The sequence below is a fragment of the Homo sapiens genome, chromosome 3, assembly GCF_000001405.40.
Source record: "Homo sapiens chromosome 3, GRCh38.p14 Primary Assembly".
Taxonomy (NCBI): domain Eukaryota; kingdom Metazoa; phylum Chordata; class Mammalia; order Primates; family Hominidae; genus Homo; species Homo sapiens.
In genome coordinates, this window is record NC_000003.12 from 188,326,357 (window position 1) to 188,344,466 (window position 18,110).

The 18,110-nt window shown below is 37.4% G+C and overlaps 1 protein-coding gene across 57 annotated transcripts in view; it reads left to right on the top strand.

Annotated features, from left to right (window-relative positions):
- Nucleotides 1–18,110, top strand: part of LPP (LIM domain containing preferred translocation partner in lipoma) — a 737,651-nt gene that overhangs the window by 173,336 nt on the left and 546,205 nt on the right. For 18 of the 57 annotated variants that reach the window (NM_001387667.1, NM_001387665.1, NM_001387664.1 and 15 more), the window contains one exon: nt 15,307–15,363. The exons of 27 other annotated variants lie outside the window; for them this stretch is intronic. Coding sequence is in view for 2 of the 30 variants with exons in the window: in XM_047448097.1 (XP_047304053.1) it covers nt 15,307–15,363 (57 nt within the window). In the remaining 28 variants the exon portion in view is untranslated. Of the gene's footprint in view, nt 1–8,757; nt 8,847–15,299; nt 15,364–18,110 lie in introns of all 57 variants that reach the window. 12 more of the 57 variants (XM_047448103.1, XM_047448102.1, XM_047448107.1 and 9 more) reach the window with 5 other exon arrangements.

The window sequence follows — 18,110 nt, forward strand, 5'->3', positions numbered from 1 at the left end:
TTTAAGCAATCCATCAGTCTCTCTTGTTGTCATGGTGACCGGAGTATATTTAGAAATGTGACAAGTACACTGAGTTCAATTGCACTTTTGCCAAAACATAGTTTTGCAGCTAAAATTGAATTTCCTGATTGAAGATCCAAGTGCTGTTAAGGGGGCATGATCGTTTCTATACATTATTCTGGAAGTATAACTTAACGTTATTCTGTTAAATCCACAGTTACGAGTCTTATCAGGTATTGATAGTTAAAGTGGTTGTACTTAAAGTTGATGAAATAAAGTGAAATAAAAGTGACATGATGCTTTTTCTATTGAAAATGAAACTGGGCCTTACTAATATAACTAGTTTAATGATTAGTTTCTTTATATATTTATAAAGACATTGTAGGTATGTACCTGTCTGTTCTTCAGAATTATATTTCTAATTTAAAATTATATATCATGGAGATCCTCCCCTGTTTCCTGCTTGTATTCTATTCTTAGTATTGTGAGGGCATTCTTTTTTCTTTGGGTCTGACCTCTGTTTGATAAGCATTCTTATTTTTCCTCAATCTCAATTCTTCTGGATTTTAAATGAAGTAAAGAGACACAATGAACGTGACTTTTTGCCCAAACAAAGGAAAAACGAAACTCTTCTCTTTATTCAAGAATGTAGATTAAATTCTTACTTTCTTATCATCCTCTGTCCTGTCAACATAGTGCTGAGAATGATGTTGTGTATCAACTCATTTGACCACATAAAGTTTAGGAATTAATGTAGTGGCTGGGTCATGATTACAACACTGATTTCATTCCTGGCCAAAGACTGATTCTTCTGCTCTTGAGGTGAGAAAAGCCAGTACTCCTGGATACTTTCGCTTCTCTATTTTTATCTAACTGAATGAGTCTGCAACTGGGATAGTTTATGAGCCTCTAATAATATACGGTTAGACTACCATTATCTCTTTCGTGAACATTGCCAAAAGTGTTTTTTTGGTAAGAGATATCTTAGTTATAATAACAGTTTGTAGGATTTATGGAGTGTTTACTACATGCTAGGCACTGTATATAGTAAGCTCCTTAATGGATCCTTATATTGGATCTACACAGAAATCTTATGAGGTAGTTCCCATTGTATTCTTATTTTACGTTAAAGAAACAGGTTTGGAGAGATACTGTCTTTTGAAGAAGCATATAAGTGGAGCAGTAGTGGAGTCTGAATTCTGATACAGGTCCTAGTAACCACTGCCTGTTCCATGGAAGGCACACAGTGAGTATTTTTTTTACTGACCAGTGGCCTCTTGTATGGTGACATCATACAGATGTTTCAGTGTTTCCAGAGGCTCAAGAAAGTAGCAGCTATATAAAGATAGACAGGTAGCAGCGTCTGAAAGTAGAGATGAGCTACTCTTTATCTTTCCTAGTGGTTTAGAGCCAAAGTAGATTAGTGCTAGGGAGAGAGGGAACATAAGTCCTGTCTAGTTCAGTGGTTTCATCTCTGAACTCCTTTATGTTCTTAAAAATGAGCTTTTGTTTGCATGCATTATGTATAATGATATTTACCATATTCAAAAAAGTAAGAAATGAAACTACAATTTTAATGAAAAATATTTGTATAAAAAATAAATATATTTGTGAAAAAATAGTGACAAAAGTGGGAGCTGGATTCTGCATTTAATTTGTTGTGAAATATTGTTTTGATTGATGTTTATGAAGAAAATCCAGTCTCTCACAGCTATGTATTTGAAAAAGGAAGGATAAAAAGTAATTGTGGATTTTCTTCTTTGATACTATACCAAAACTTGACAGTTTTCACATTACCTAAAGTTAGTAGTTTCTTATAGGTTAGTTTCAATGTGGAATGTGAAATCATATTAATGGACTTTTTATACCCTATTATATTAAAATCCATTGGTCAAATTTTCACTTTGATTGAGTCTCCTATGATTTTGTAAAATCATGCATTGGTCATTTAGAAAGTCGTTGGTCACTCACTTATTCAGTTCTTGCAAACACTGATCATTTCATTCTATAATATAAAAAGTCATCTTCATTAATATCACTGCTCATTCATCAAAAAAGCATTTGAAATATTAGAAAGGTGTCAAGTGCACAGTAGTAGATGTAAGGTTTTCAAAATTCTGATTTTTACTTGAAAACATGAATTTTATTTTTGGCTACAAATACTGTTGTTTTCCTTGAAACGATAAGCTCTCTTGCTTTATTTTTGAGAAAATCTCCGGCAAAACCCACATTTAAAGAACCATAGTTCGTCAGTCATTGTTTCAAATAAAAATGATGTTCCATGAAAAAAGCGATTGGTTAGCAGCTGTCAATTTAAACAGTTACACAAAGTGCATTTCTTAGAGACAATCATCGTAGTTTGATCTTCAGCAGGTGTTTCATGGTACTTCCCAGAGGTCACACAGAATGTAAAAAAGATGTGTACTCAAGAATATTAAAAATATGTCTACTTTTTGATTATGCTAACATTTTATGTGATCAGGTTTCTTTAGTAAAACCTAGTCAGACAGTACTCAAGGACTGAGATTTAATAAGATTGATACGTTTCAATGCATTAAAGAGAGTCTTAAGTGAAACTGGCTCCCTGTCCCGCTTATTGTATGTGTCTTACAGTGAAATCACTCCCTTGATTCACTTTAAGACTGCAACAGTTTTTTTACCCACTGTTATTTTTGTAGCATTAATGTAAATTTCAACACAGGGAAACGGCTTCTTAGTATGATTATGAAAATAATTTTGAACTTGTGGACTCTTGAAAGGTCTAAGGGACTCCTACACATGTATGGGTCACACATTAACAGCCACTCATTGAGTCCAGTCCCTTCATTTGACAGGAGAGGAGAGTGGTGGAAAGATGTGTCTAAGATGGCAGCACAAGTTAGTGGCGGAGCTGGGACAAGAACCTATTGTTACTTAACTCTTCTTTCTTTTCTTTTGATTTCCTGCTCCACTTTCAGGAATTTAAAGGTAACTCAAGGAATTCCAAACTTCTTTGTCAGAGATGGTGATGACAAATATATATAGTTTGTATATCTTTTATCTGAAATGCTTGGGATCAAAAGTGTTTCAGACATCAGATTTTTCCTAATTTTGGAATATTTTCATTAAACTTACTGGTTTACATTCCTGATCAAAAAACATGAAACCCAAAATGCCCCAGTGAGCTTTCAGCGTCCTGTCTGTCCTTGAAACTTCTGGATTTTGGAGCATTTTGAATTTCAGATTTTGGGTTAGGGATACAAAACCTGTATAATTATTGAACTTTTTGGGAATAATTCCGTTTTTTAAAAAATGTTAAACCTTTTGCATATTTTCCCTACTCTCCGCTCACCACTACTATCTCTTCTGCTTTTCAATGGTAACCACTCATGCCTTTTTAAACAAAACATGTGTTGTATTTGCCAAGACACAGGGGAAGCGAAGTTAAAGGTACAGTTGACTGTTCATTTTCTGAATAAGATGGAATTCTAGCTTTGTGGGGAAGGAAGAATCAGTGAGTTTTCGTTGAAGGACCCATGCCATTCTTTACCTAAATTAAAGTTGTTAAAAGTCACAGGAAAGAAAATTGTGCAAGCAATTATCATCCTTTATATCACTATAACCCATCTTACTAGGCAAACTGTGCCCTTTGCTCCCCAATTATTCTCTATTAAAGTTTCTTGCTCTCCCTCCCCATCCTTCTCTTTCTCTCTCCCTGTCTCCTCCCCTTTCCTTCTAGAAAGAGGTTGCCCAATAAAACTTGCTCTTAACTTTGCTTTTGGTTATGTTGATATTTTATGTGACTTGTTTTCTTCACTAAACAGTAGTCAGTCTATGAGACTGTATTGAAGAATGCTGAGAAAGTCAATAGAAGTGGACTTAGAATACTACATGTTCTTTTAAATATGTCTCTTATGTTATAGAGTAACTTTTTGGGGAGCTAAGGTTTGCAGACAATGCTGCGTGTGAACATATGTGAGTAAATCTGATAAGCTGTGGAAGGAGGCTTGCAAACTTTCAAATGTATTGTGCTTTCATTTTCAACTTAATTGGATGTTCTTTTGCAAGGTCTTGTTTTTTTCCTAGTTCTCATTCACCGTTCAGTTGCCTTCCCCCACCTGTGAGCTTTTTGAGTCAAACTTTGTTTATTAGCTTTTTTCCTGATTCTTCTTTCATGTCTTTCTTTCCTATCCCAAAGTATGATTTGATTAGACCTCAGGTTACCCTTCTGAATGAGCTCTTCCTCAATCCTAGGCCTGGCCAGGCATGGTGCCTCATGCTTATAATCCCAGCAACATGGTAAAACCTTGTCTCTACAAAAAACACAAAAATGAGCTGGGCATGGTGGCCCATGCCTGTAGCCCCAACTACTCAGGAGGCTGAGGTGGGAATATCACTTGAGCCTGAGAGGCAGAGATTGCAGTGAGCCGAGATCGTGCTATTACATTACAGCCTGGGCAACAGAGGGAGATACTGCCTCAGAATAAGTCAGTCAGTCAGTCAGTAAGTAAGTAAGTAAGTAAGTAAATAAATAAATAAATAAATAAATAAATAAATACGTAAGAATCCTAGGCCTTGGTGACTTACTCTTTTTAATTTTTTTTCCCACAAAACTGATGTGTTTTGCCCTTACTTTCACCAGAAGACCATTTAGTCTTCTTATTTTTTCTTCCTGAGACTTCTACATTTGTTTTTTTCTAGCCATTTATATTAGGCTCGCAAATTGCATAGTGATAGCTGATTGACCCCTTCAAAATGCCTGTTTTCTGCCTCCTTGTCTCAGCTTCTTGAGGATGGTGCTATCTCATGCTTGGTGTATCATAGGAGCCCCATGGATATGTTGAATAGATTTTGCTCAGGGGTCTCCTCTTTAGAGAGCGTTCTTCACATTTTTATCTGGAGATCTGAGCTTTTATGTATCTCCCACTATTGGGCTGCTAAATCTCCCAAACCCAGAATTGCAATGTCCATCTTTTAATGCAGACTCCCAGCCACTGCCAGGATATCACATGTCTTCTCTGACAGATGGCTATGTAGCCTCCACTTGAACTTTTGCAGCTCTTTGCAAGGCAATTTGTTCTACTGCTGGACAGCTTCATGTTTAATGTTTTCCCTTGTATTACACTAAAACTGATTTTCCCATTATTTTAATCCCCATATTTCTAGCATTGCATAGTTTGAAAAAGTATAATATTGCTTACACATGACATGTCCCCAGATACTCAAAGATAGCTCTAATTCCCCCATCTGCCTCCTTTCCTCCTTTAGACCTTCTCTTGCTACTTACATCCCATAGAAGGCTTTGGATGCTCATCCTCTTGGTGCTTTCCCCATTTCTACATCACTTTCTAGATTTTGGTCCTGATGTCCAACTCTAAGGGACTCCCTCAAGGCCACATTTTATCTCTGATGGTACTAGGAGCAGTATGAGTAAATGGTATGTGTATGAGTCTGAAAGCTGAGATATGAATTCTGGTGCTTATTAGATGTGTGAACTTGATTAGGTTACTTAATCTTTCTAAACCTCAGTTTCCCAAGATGCAAAATGAATATAATATTAAATTCCAAGACTATTTTTAAGGATTAAAGATATAAAATGCTTAGCTTAGTTACTAAAATATATTATGTTTAGCTTGATCAATTATTTCATCTTTTATCTATCCAACAACTCCTTTTCTTTTTCACACATGTGCACTTGGTTTTAAAAATTATTTCAAGAGTTCTTCCCTCCTCCTTTCCTTCTCTCTTTTCTTCTCTCTTTAAATTTTATAACGTATATACTCTTATAAAAGTTACCATCATGTTTAGATTTCCTTCTAAACTTTTATATCTAGAATTTAACATGATTTTCTTGACAAATATGTTTTCTTCTATGTGAATTTTCGCAGCTGCTGCCTACATTTCTGCTCATGTGTTTAGCCTCTGTTAATCTTCCTGTGAAAATTGTGACTTCATCCTGCCAATGGGTTAATGATGACTGGCTCATTGCATGTCACTTAACTCCTCGCTAAATGCTTCACTTGATCACTCAGTAACTTTACAATCATTTAGTTGTACAATACATTTAAAAAAATTAAAAGTTCAATTAATTTCAATTTCACAAACACTTACTAATCCCATCTTATATCACATGCATTAAACTAGGTGTGTGTTATAGTAGTTGCATAGAACATTTTGTTCATTTGCTCATTCATTCATTCATTGAATGTTCTTTTGAGTACATACTAAAGACCAGATGCTGGATAGACTTTGGGTTCGGATTCAAGAAGCTGTGTTAGACAAAGAGCCTCTATTCAAGATGCATGATCAACTAAAAGTGATAAAACAATATGGTAATTTTAGTGATCCAGATATAAAACTAGGCATTATGGTAGTTTTAAGAAAGGCTGCTTCATCGAACATTTTTGCATTAAGAAGCTTCTTATCGGGGAGACACTAAATGTTGAGTAGGGCCTCAGACTCTACTAGAAAGGTAAGACCCATATTAGGGCTTGGTTTTGTTTGATTATAAAGCCATTTTGTGAGAATCAACCTCCAGGCTCCATGTGTTATCTTTGGCTCCTCACCTTCACCCCCACCCTCCCACCCCAGTTGCATGCATGCCATATTTTTCCTTCTTCTTTTCAATAAGGAAGCATCAGAATCAACAGAATAACATAAAGATAGGTGTGGTGACATTATAGGCTCACTTCTGGGGCGTCATTATTACATTAATTTTTCTATATTTCCAAGTAAGAATAACAATGTAAGTACATAAAAATAATCTCATGATAGTAGAACATATTGCATAGTATTTCTCTATTCATCATTCCCTTTACTTCTTGTAGAAAAGCTTAGTGCTTGTGGATTTCCTTAAATAAGTGTCTTAAGCACTGTATCTGATCTGATAGATATTAGCACAACAATTGGCACTGAGTAATTATATTTGGAGAATTTGGAAGGAATTTTTTCTCTATTGCAAAGTGGTCATGCTGTGTTGTCTGCTTTTATTTATATCACAAGACCAGATCTGCCGTTAACTAGATGTCTAGGAAAGAGTTCCTTTACTACTCTGTGCCTTAGCTTTGTCACTTGTCAAACGAGAATATACTAGGAACAGTATCAGTTTTGCCTCACTGAGCTGCAGTGAAGAATAAAATCATTTATCTGTGTGAAAGGACAATGCATACAGATGGTAACAATTATAAATATTAAACTAAGCTTTTGAGTGACCGGATTGGCTACTTCTCTTAAAGTGAGTTCTGCTTAATTAGTTAATTCTTACTTATTGCCCCAAACTTTCTGAGATAGCTTCATGTTTTTTTCCTCTCTACCCTGAAGTGCCTGCTTGCAAGCACTATATGCTCAATGAGCATTTGTTGAATGAATTTTTTAAAAGTATTTACCTTTTTTGCTTTTATTATTATTTTAAATTAACACATAATTGTACATGTTTACGGGGTACAGTGTGATATTTTGATACATGTATACAATGTGTAAAGATCAAATGAAGGTATTTAGCATATTCATCACCTCAAACGTTTATTATTTCTTTGTGTTTGGAACATTCAAAAGCCACTCTTCTAGCTACTTGAAAATATACAATAAATTGTTGGTAATTATAGTGATTCTATAGTGCTGTAGAACACTAGAACTGACTCCTCCTTTGTACTTTTGTATCCATTTACCAACCTTTGGCTATCCTCCCCCTCCTGCTACTTTTCTCCACCTCTGGTGATCAGTATTTTACTCTCTATGTGATCGATTTCTTTCAGCTTCCACATATGAGAAAGGACATGTGACAAATAACTTTCTGCTTCTGGCTTATTTCACTTAACATGATGTCCTCCAGGCTTATCCATGTTACTGTGAATGACAAGATTTCATTCATTTTTTTATGGCTGAATAGTATTACATTGTAAATATATAACACATTTTCTTTGCCTGTTTATCTGTTGATGGATACTTAGATTGATTCCTTATCTTGGCTGTTATAATTAGTGCTGCAATAAACATGGGAATGCAGATATCTTATTGAAAATGTTTTTTTTTTTTCCTTTGGATATATGACCAGCAGTGGGATTGCTGGATCTTACGATATTTCTTTCTTTTTTTTTTTTTTTTTTTTGAGACGGAGTTTTGCTGTGTCACCAGGCTGGAGTGCAGTGGTGCTATCTGGCTCACTGCAAGCTCCGCCTCCTGGCCTCCTGGGTTCAAGCGTTTCTCCTGCCTCAGCCTCCCGAGTAGCTGGGACTACAGACGCGCGCTACCACGCCCGGCTAATTTTTGTGTTTTTAGTACAGACGGGGTTTCATCATATTGGCCAGGATGGTCTCCTTCTCTTGACCTCGTGATCCGCCCACCTTGGCCTCCCAAAGTGCTGGGATTATAGGCCTGAGCCACCATGCCCAGCCAATATTTCTAATTTTAGTGTTTTGAAGAACCTCTATACTATTTTCTATAATGGCTGTACTAACTTACATTCCCACCAACAGTGTATGAATTCCCTTTTCTTTGCATCTTTGCCAGCGTTTCTTATTTTTTTTGTCTCTGATAATAGCTATTCTAACTTGGGTTAGATGATATCTCATGGTGGCTCCATTTTCTGTATATGGATGTCCAGTTTTCCCAGCACCATTTATTAAAGAGATTCTTCTTGTTTCCTTTGTTGAAAATCAGTTGGCTGTAAATACGTGGATTTATTTTTGGGTTCTCTGTTCTGTCCCATTGGTGTATACGCCTGTTCAAGAACTATCTTGAATAAAAGTGGTAAAAGTGAGCATCTTTGTCTTGTTCCAGAGCTTAAAAGAAACCTTTCAATTTGAACGTGTCCAGTATGTTGATGACTGTGGGTTTATCATGTGAAGTGTTTATTATGCTGAGGTAAGGTATGTTTCTTTTATACCTGACTTGAGATATTATATCATGAAGGAATGTTGAACTTTATGAAGTGCTTTTTCTGCATCTAATGAGATAATCATGGTTTTTGTACTTTGTTTTGTTGAGGTAATGTATCACGTTTATTGGTTTACCTGTGTTAAACTATCCTTGTATCCCTCGGATAAATACCACTTGATCATAGTAAATGCTCCTTTAAATGTATTGGTGGATTCAGTTTGCTAGTATTTTGTTGAGGATTTTTGCATCTATGTTCATCAGAGATCCTGGCCTATAATTTTCTTTTTACATGTTTGTCCTTGTCTGGTTTTGGTATGAGGGTAAGAATGCATTCATGAAATTCTTTATTTTTGAGATTTATTCTTTTTTATTATGTCTATCTTTGTTGAATTTCTTCTTCATATTGTGAATTATTTTCTTGATTTAGTAAAATTGTCTATCTGTATTTTCTTGTATCTCACTGAGGTTCCTTAAGATCATTATTTTGAATTCCTTTTCTGGCATTTTATTGATTTCTTTTTTACTGGAGTCTGAAACTAAAGAGCTACATTCCTTTGGTGGTGTCATATTTTATTGCTTTTTCATATTTCTTGTGTCAGTGAGTTGATGTCTTTGCATCCGGTGGAACAATTACCTCTTCTATACAAACTTTCTGGAGTGGTTTTCATAAAAAAAGACTTCCGCTTGCAATTAGGGTTGGTGTTACAGTTGGGAGGGGTGTGATGACTTTGTTTCTGAATAGATGCAGTGATAGGGTCTCCATGCAGCTTCTAAAGCTACGTTCAATGTCAGCAATAACTGTGGGCACCTCAGTAGCTTAAGTTGTAGAAATTTGTGGCAGTGGTGGTGGTGGCATAGATTATTAATGTCCTCAGTGTCAAGGGCTTTTGAGGTCCTCCTATTCTTATTTTTTTCATAATGGGGAGATTTAGCCAAGGGGACTGCTCTTCATGTCAGATATCACATGACCTACAAGCAAGTGCAGTGGTGCTGAGTTCTAGGTGCAGGTGCTTGAAGTGGCTGTGGGACTAGAGTCTTATGCCCAGGATCTTGCCAACCTATTGTGACACCTGGGTCTTGGGTTACAGGTTCACTCTCTGTGCTAGGGTTGGATGTAGGCTTCCCACAGAGCCAGGATTTGTGACTCTGAGACATTACTCTACAAACTCAGTCCCAGCTGTGAGTGGCTCAACTCCAGGAAAGAAGGAGTGCAGGGAAGTTTGGACCCAGAGAGCAGGATATGCCCTGATTTGGCAACATGAGCCAGTAGGGTTCAGTGGCAACTTGGATCTCAGGGGATGAGGCACCATGTAGTAGTGATTCTTGACCCCTGGATGTTGGGACTCAGCAGTACCTTAGACTCTGTAAGACCACATGCGGTAGCAGTACCCCAGAATGGCAACATACAGCTGTTACTTGTGCCCTGAGTGGGGGCAGAGTACAGCACAGTGGTGGCTGTATGCCACAGGGAGAGGGGTATCTTAGCAGCTCTGACACTAAGCAGGTAGACCAGCTCCAGGGAAACAGCGTATTAGAGTTGTTTTCCCTTTAGGCTGGAGTGTCTCAGATCAGCCCAGCCACTGCTCAGTTTTCCAAGGATGTGGGTTATCACATCAGCTCAGCTTTGGGATTTACAGCTGCTCAGCTGAGCGATGGCACCAATTCACCAAGGGACAATATGCCACTTCAGCTCAGGCCTGGGGGACATGACTTTTCTAGGCAGCCCAGGTACCATTTCCCTGGGATGAAGGGTGCTACTTCAGATTAAGTACTGGGGTGCGTGACCGCTCTGAGTGGCCAATGTACTGTTTTCCCAGGAGGCAGGGTACTGCTTCAGCACTGGCCTGAAGGGGAGGGTGAAAGGTAGATTAAGTGACTCTACCTTCACCTGGGCCCATGGGGAAGAGTGGAACAGTTGCTGGCAGCTCGGCTTGGGGATGTCGGGCCACTGGGTTCGGGTGGTTCAACGGTAGCTTAGCCTTAGTGATGGAGTGTCATAGCTATGCACTCCCAGAGCAAGAGACACTCCAGCCAAAGCTCCATTTCCAAGACGGCATAGCGCAGTAGCTGCGCAGGCCACAGAGGGCAGGTCACACTGGTTGCTCTTTTTCTTGGGGAAGCACGGCTATGTGGACTTCAGGCAGGTCCCTCAGCTGGGACTTGGCTCCTGTGAGGACTACATGAGACTCCATGGGTGAGGTCTGTAGCTGTTCAAGGTGTTGATGGGGCTTGCTGGGATCCTTTTGTGTACCATTCTACCCTAGAGAGAAGTTCCTCCCTGTTTCCAGCAGATCCCAAGTGGGTGATGGGTGGTAAAGACCAGGTGTTTTGTTTCTATTCTCTATGTGGTCATTCTGAGTTTCTTGCTATCCAGGGTTTCTGTTACTTCTCTGATGCAGTCTGGTACACTGCCTTAGTTATTATTTTTTCTTCTTCTGTTTTTAGTTCATCTTTTTGTTTTTTTCTATATAGCAATGGGGTTTCCCTATGTTGCCCAGGCTGCTCTCAAACTCCAGAGCTCAACAGATCCACTCACCTTGGCCTCCCAGAGTGCCGGGACTACAGGCACGAACCATCGTGCCTGGCCCAGTTATTTTTGTTAAAGTTTAGTTGTTGATTGTTGTTGTGGCTGTCTTTGTGAAAGAGACGAGAGCTAGGGGCCTCTGGTTGGCCATGCTACTGATGTCACTCTTAAAGTACTTATCTTTAAAAGTCCAGTGCTGGAGATTTGTAAGCTACTTATATTTCTGCTCAGAATTCCTAAAGTCTCTCATTTTATTTCTAGATTATACATTCCATTGATAGAGCCCTTATAAATATAACATTAAGAAGTTGAGCATTACCTTTAGGCCAAAGCAATTTACTTTTAAAAAATCTGATTAATTTCAACACAATCAACCAGATGTCAGAAGATTTCAGTGCCTCTGATAGATGCTGACAGGTGTGGAAATTAAAATCAGAGAGGGAAGCAATTAAATCCTGGCAAACATTACTTTAATGAGACAACCAAATCATAAGCTATGGAATACCTTGTATTCTTGATAAGTATCTTAGGGTGGCATGAGAGTGCACTTTAAATTGTATGTGGTATTTGATGACTGGAATGCAGGGCAGTCCATATTTGTCATCTAATTCCTTTGGCCTGATTTAACATTTCAGTTGCTTCTGGGGACAGACTTCTATGTTTAAAACATTGTTTTATTTTAATAAATGTTAGGTTAAGTAATCCTTTTACTACTACCTCTGTTGCCACATGAAACTTATGAAAATGACCAAATTATTATTGGCCTTTTCGCAGTGGTTTTGGGATAACTGTGAAAAGAGAAACACAGAATGTGTATTTTATGCAACTTCTAATCAAAAGATTTGATAATTACAGCACTAAAACCAGAACCCAGTTCCTCCATCCCCATTTCATTATTCTTTTCAATATGATTCCCCCTATTCGGAATGAATATCTTGGACACCAGGGTGAAAGAGGTACCAGTTTATTGACTTAGTGGGAGTTTTTATAAGATACTCTTATATTGCTTATTGAGGTACTAAAGCACTTACAAAATATCAAGTATTTTGAGTTAGCTTTACACTGGTTCAATAACACTTAGAATTTTTGTTCATAATACTAAGATAATCATCTTAGGGATGGTTACATTTTGTTGTGAGGTGTGGTGGAAAATTCAAAGGACACCATGGTTTGTGAAAAACCCATTGCAGCTGATCTCTGCACTTTTCATTTCCATGTCATTCCATTTTCTTCTGCTTTTTCTTTACCCCCTGTTATTTTCTTGCTTCTCTCTCTTTATTATCTTACCTTCATTTACTCCATCCTGTTTTTCTCCAAAATATAGTTGCTTCTGTAAAATTGCTTCTGAGGGTGAGCATATTTTTGAGGGGAGAGAGGATGGATGGTTTGACAAAGGATGCAGACATGTCAGGTTCTGGGTCAGCAGTTAGTTATAAAATACACAGAGGCAGCCAAGGATAACTGGCTTCATTACCAAAAGGCTAGAGTGGGATTTGTCAGTTGTCCCAGATGTCTGTATGGAATTATGGAAAACTCCATTGCATTATGAAACACTCAGGAGCTACTCAGGACACATGCCACTCAATCCACGTGAAGAGGGCTGGTGAACTTCTTAGCTAGAAAGACTTCAGCTTTCCTATTGCTTAAAATGAGACTGATTGGTGAAGGATTTGTATTAGTCCATTCTCACGCTGCTATAAAGAACTGCCAGAGACCACGTAATTTATAAAGAAAGAGGTTTAATTGACTCACAGTTCCACATTGCTGGGGAGGCCTCAGGAAACTTATAATCATGGTGAAAGGCAAAGGAGGAACAGGCACCTTCTTCACAGGGCGGCAGGAAAGAGTGACTGCCAGCAGGAGAAATGCCAGATGCTTATAAAACTATCAGATCTCGTGAGACTCACTCACTATCATGAGAACAGCATGGGGGAAATTGCCCCCATGATCGGATTACTTCTACCTGGTATCACCCTTGACTCATGGGGTTTACAATTCAAGATGACATTTTCGGTGTGGACACAGTCAAACTGTATCACACTCTTCACAAAACTTCACTGGTACAGACTTGCGTATATGGCTTGTGCTTCGACACTTTGCCCAGGGATGTTGCATCTTGAAACTTTCCTGGTGAGATCTGAGAAAGTGTTTATGGTAACACTGCATCAAACACTCCTTTTGCCTTAGCTTAGTAATGTGTCACCTTCTGGTTAGACCACAGATGTGAAGTCTACTCTTTCTCCTTTCACTTGCTAATAAAGCAGAACTTAGAACTAAGTGTGTGTTAGTGCTTCGACAATTGAATTTTCTGTGCTATACACTCGGTTTCCCTTTCCTGAAGTTGTTTAGTTACCCTCTTCAAATAGCAATTGGGAGGCTACGTCATGTAGTAGGAGGGTGCTTACTGATTTTGGTATCAAGATACAGTGTTACATTTTTATCTGCTCCATGTTAACCATGTGATCTTTGAAGTTTGGTTTTTGTATTTGTAAAATTTGGGTAATAAGGTCTCATTGGAGTTATAAAGGGAATGGTTTGAGACATAATGGTCATTGTGATTTTTCAAGCTATAAAATAAAGCATGATGTTAAAAGATGATTAATGTTTTCATTTGGTGGTAGATGACAAGTTTCTTGCAGGGCATCTGATCAATCATGCTCTTTTTTTTTTTTTTTTTTTTGAAACTTTTATTTTAAGTTCAGGGGTATAGTTGCAGGATCCATGTTCTTTTCTTAACCTGTTTTGAGTCCTTTATGTAAACGGGACATTTTATCAAAACTTCCTAGAAGTCTTATATTTCTCAATAAATCCATCCATTCTATTAAAACAAATTTGCTTTGTTCTTAGAGTCTGGTGGAAACTCCAACTCTCTGAACCTAGGGCATGATTATGGGCACAAAGTTGAAAATGATGTGCGATTCATCAGCAGGTCTTTCAACTAAAGCAGTATCTGTTTTGCTTTTTAGGGGTCAAGGAAACTTTTGATTTTAAAATCTTAAAAGTTTTTGGGCTGTCTCTTGTTAGATGAGGTCATGTGAGAGTGACATAGATTAATATTTCGGTGTTTTAAAACTAGGAAACATAAGTCAAAGAGATATTCTCTTGCCTAATGTGCTTATAATGTTATCTTTTGATCATATAAATGTGGATTTATGGGAAGAAATGTTATCACTGCTCTCTATAACCATATATATGGAATAATGGAGAGAAATCTTATTTAAAAAGTTTAACTAAGGGCAACTTTGGCTATGGAGTATATATCATAATCTTCACATACATATGAAGAAATTGACACTCATGGAGTTTAAATAACTTGCCTAAGGCCATTGATTAAAGGAAATCTGACTGGCTCGAAATCCTATGTACTTTTCCCATTTCCTCATTTCAATCAAATAGCTGGTTTTATTTTATTTTCTCTCTCCACCAAGCCTTGTGAATTAAGACAATGAGTTGCTGTTTGTCTTTGTCTTTCCCTAGCCTAATAACCTAGGAAAAACTGAAGTAGAAAGGAAGGATTACTGGACTAGCAGGCACAAACTTTGGCTCCAAATTCATGCCCTGCCAGATACTAAACTGTGTAATCTTGGGCAAATTACTTTCCTTTTGTGAACTTCAGTTTCTACTTCTGTAAAATGTGGACAATAATATTCATTTTATATGGTTTCTGTAAAGTTAATCATGAGGATGGTGTTAGTTCCTTTCTCATCCTTTCTGTCCCTCTTTGAGCTTCTGTTTCCTCACCTATGAAGCCAGTAGAATCATCTCTTCCTGCTTCTTCATCGGGTTCCTGTGGGGTGCAATGAATGTGAAAATGTTTTGTAAAACAAGAAACCATTATGTAGATATAAGAGGTTATGACTATTAATGAATAAATATGGGTTTGGTGTCTGGAAGTAATTTTTACTTATTTCATTTGTAAACACTAGCATTGCAGTTGGCTGAACCTTGTGTCAACCATCCATTCCAGGAGCCAGCTATCTGAGGTAAGAGAGGAGGCGTGTCTTCTTGTTTATGAAATACTAATAGGCATCTGAGCCAGTAATGTTGATTTTAGAAGAAATACAAAGAATAGAAGAAATACAAAGTACTTTATGAGGAAAAGAACTGAAAAATGGCCAAGACAGTGAGCTGACCTCTCTTTTTATTTTTGTTTTTTTGATTTATTTTTTTCCCTTTTAATTCATAGCCCTTAAGGTTTAATACCAAAACCAAAAATCTGGGCCACACAGACGATTCAGATTTAATGTGTATGTATTTAAGTGTCCATAAAATGCAATGGAGTAGAATGTGCTTAACCATTATTTTATTGTATCCTCAACTAGTATGTGGCAGGAGGGCTTTTTACCTGGTTTCCTAACCCTTGATTGAGCGCATTTTTGACTACACTATACTGCCAGTGTTACCTGGCTCTGAAGGGGCCAAATATTTATGGCTGGGTCAGTCACTCTCTCTTAGCTGCCAAACAAAATCATCTCAAAAAGCTAGAATCCAAAGCCACAACAGAAAAATCCTAAGAACACAGAAAATTGAGTTAGTCTTTTGAAACCTTGCATCCATTGTATCTGAATGCCACTCTCCTGGGGGACTGTTGGGAATGACACCAATCCTTGGCAGAAGAATACATTTGTCTTGAGTTTGCCAAGAAAATGGAGGCCAATGGAGAAAAAACATTTAAAGGAAGCATCATAGTTGTAAAATTTACCAGATGCGATTTTTCTCCTAAAGTCAACCTGCTGAATCTGTACCTTCTAATGAGCTCTACTGTGTTTTATGTAATGTAACTTAACCAAAAAGAGGTGAAGTAGTCAATATGTAGAATAGTAACTTTGTAGAAGATTTGATATCATTATTTAGAGTACTATACACATGTATTCTGCTGAATATTTTGTTAATTCCTTTGGTATGTTATATCTATGACCTCGAACTGCAACCATGACTTCAGTTGCACAGACCTTTGAGAAGAATAAAATTGGTTGGTATTGCCCCAAATTTGTAGGACTTAGAAAATTTAGAATTGAGAGGAAATTAAGGTGTCAGGTTTACATGATTTTCAAAGCTAATATCATATATATATAATAAGAACACGTGCAGACAAGGTAGGTTATGTATGGACTATGAAATTTCTGTAATTAAACCAGACATAACAGCCACTTAAGTTATTTAGATTTTCTTCTCATTCCTACAAAAAAAGAACATTGTTTTTATTTTTATTATTATTTATTTATTTTTCAAGTGGAATATAAGCTAGTTTACCCAGGAAGTTTTTTATTTATTTATTTACTTATTATTTTACTTTAAGTTCTTGGATACATGTGCAGAACATGCAGGATTTTTACGTAGGTATACATGTGCCATGGTGGTTGCTGCACCCTATCCACCCATCATCCAGGTTTTAAGCACCGCATGCATTAGGTATTTGTCCTTGCCTTGCCCTCCACCCATCAACGGGCCCCGATGTGTGATGTTCCCCTCCCTGTGTCCATGTGTTCTCGTTCAACTCCCACTTCTGAGTGAGAACATGCGGTGTTTGGAAGCCATCATTCTCAGCAAACTAACACAGAAAAAGAGAACATTGTTTTTAAAAAAGGTAGTAGCAAAAAATGTAAGAATGGCTCCTGTCCACCTTTTATTTCTTTTCTAGTCCACAAAATAACCCTGCAAAAACTTATTTCTAATGTTTTATTTTTACGGATAAATATATCAGAAAAGAATGTACTGTAGATACCTACTATCATAGTTTTTGACAGCTCTGTGAGGCAGAGATCTAACTTGTTCATTTAGAAACTGCAGTTATCACACTAACCTTCCCTCCGATGCCAATTGTTAAATATTAATAGAATAAGCTTTGAAAAGTAATTAACTGTATCCCCTGTCCCCACAGAAACCCATCTTGAAACTATCAAGAGGAGTTTTAAGCAAGCCCTGAAAGGTTACAAAAATTACTCTCAAGAAAGAGGAATTTTCTCTCTTTCTCTTTTCGTTATATTTTGGAGGTGGGGAATGGTAGAGAGGGAATGATAGAAACCTCTCAAGTAACCTTTGGGAGGTGGAGAAGTAAATAGTCTGGGAGCATGCTGTAGAAATTTAAAATAATCCTGTGGCAATAATTGGTATCAGTGGCAGTAATGAAGAAAGAATAACAGTTTCAATAAATAATTAGACTTGACAGTAAATGTGTCAACAGGTACCCACTTAATGAGTGTAATCATTGTTTTTCTCTGCTCTCAACGTTGATCCACTGACTGCGGTGTGTTCTCTGTCCCATTTCCAAACCAAATCTATTTAAAGCTGCACTCCACGGAATCTGCAACAGTATACCCTGTTTACTATTTAGAGCTGATACCTAATGTTCTTTAATAGGCAAGATCTGTACTTGAACGAGAACAGGCTTCTGGCCTCTTGTAGACGGTTGATTATCCCTGTTTTCCACAGGGTGATTCATTAGCAAGGATGAATAATACCCAATTAAATCTCATGGACTTGTCTATATTGCCAGAGTGAATTGTTTATTATAATTTGGTGGAAACAGTCCTAGTCTGCTTTAAATAAAATTAATCAGTTACCGTTTTTTGAAGTGGAGGTAGAGGCAGTAGTTATAAGTGAAATTACCTCTGTAATAACCTGAATAGAATCACATTGTTTTTGGGAGCAAAGCAGTATGTTGTATGTTATGTGCACCAGAAGCCATGAGAATCCTTTTCTAATCCCAGCTGTAATGTCACCTGGCTGT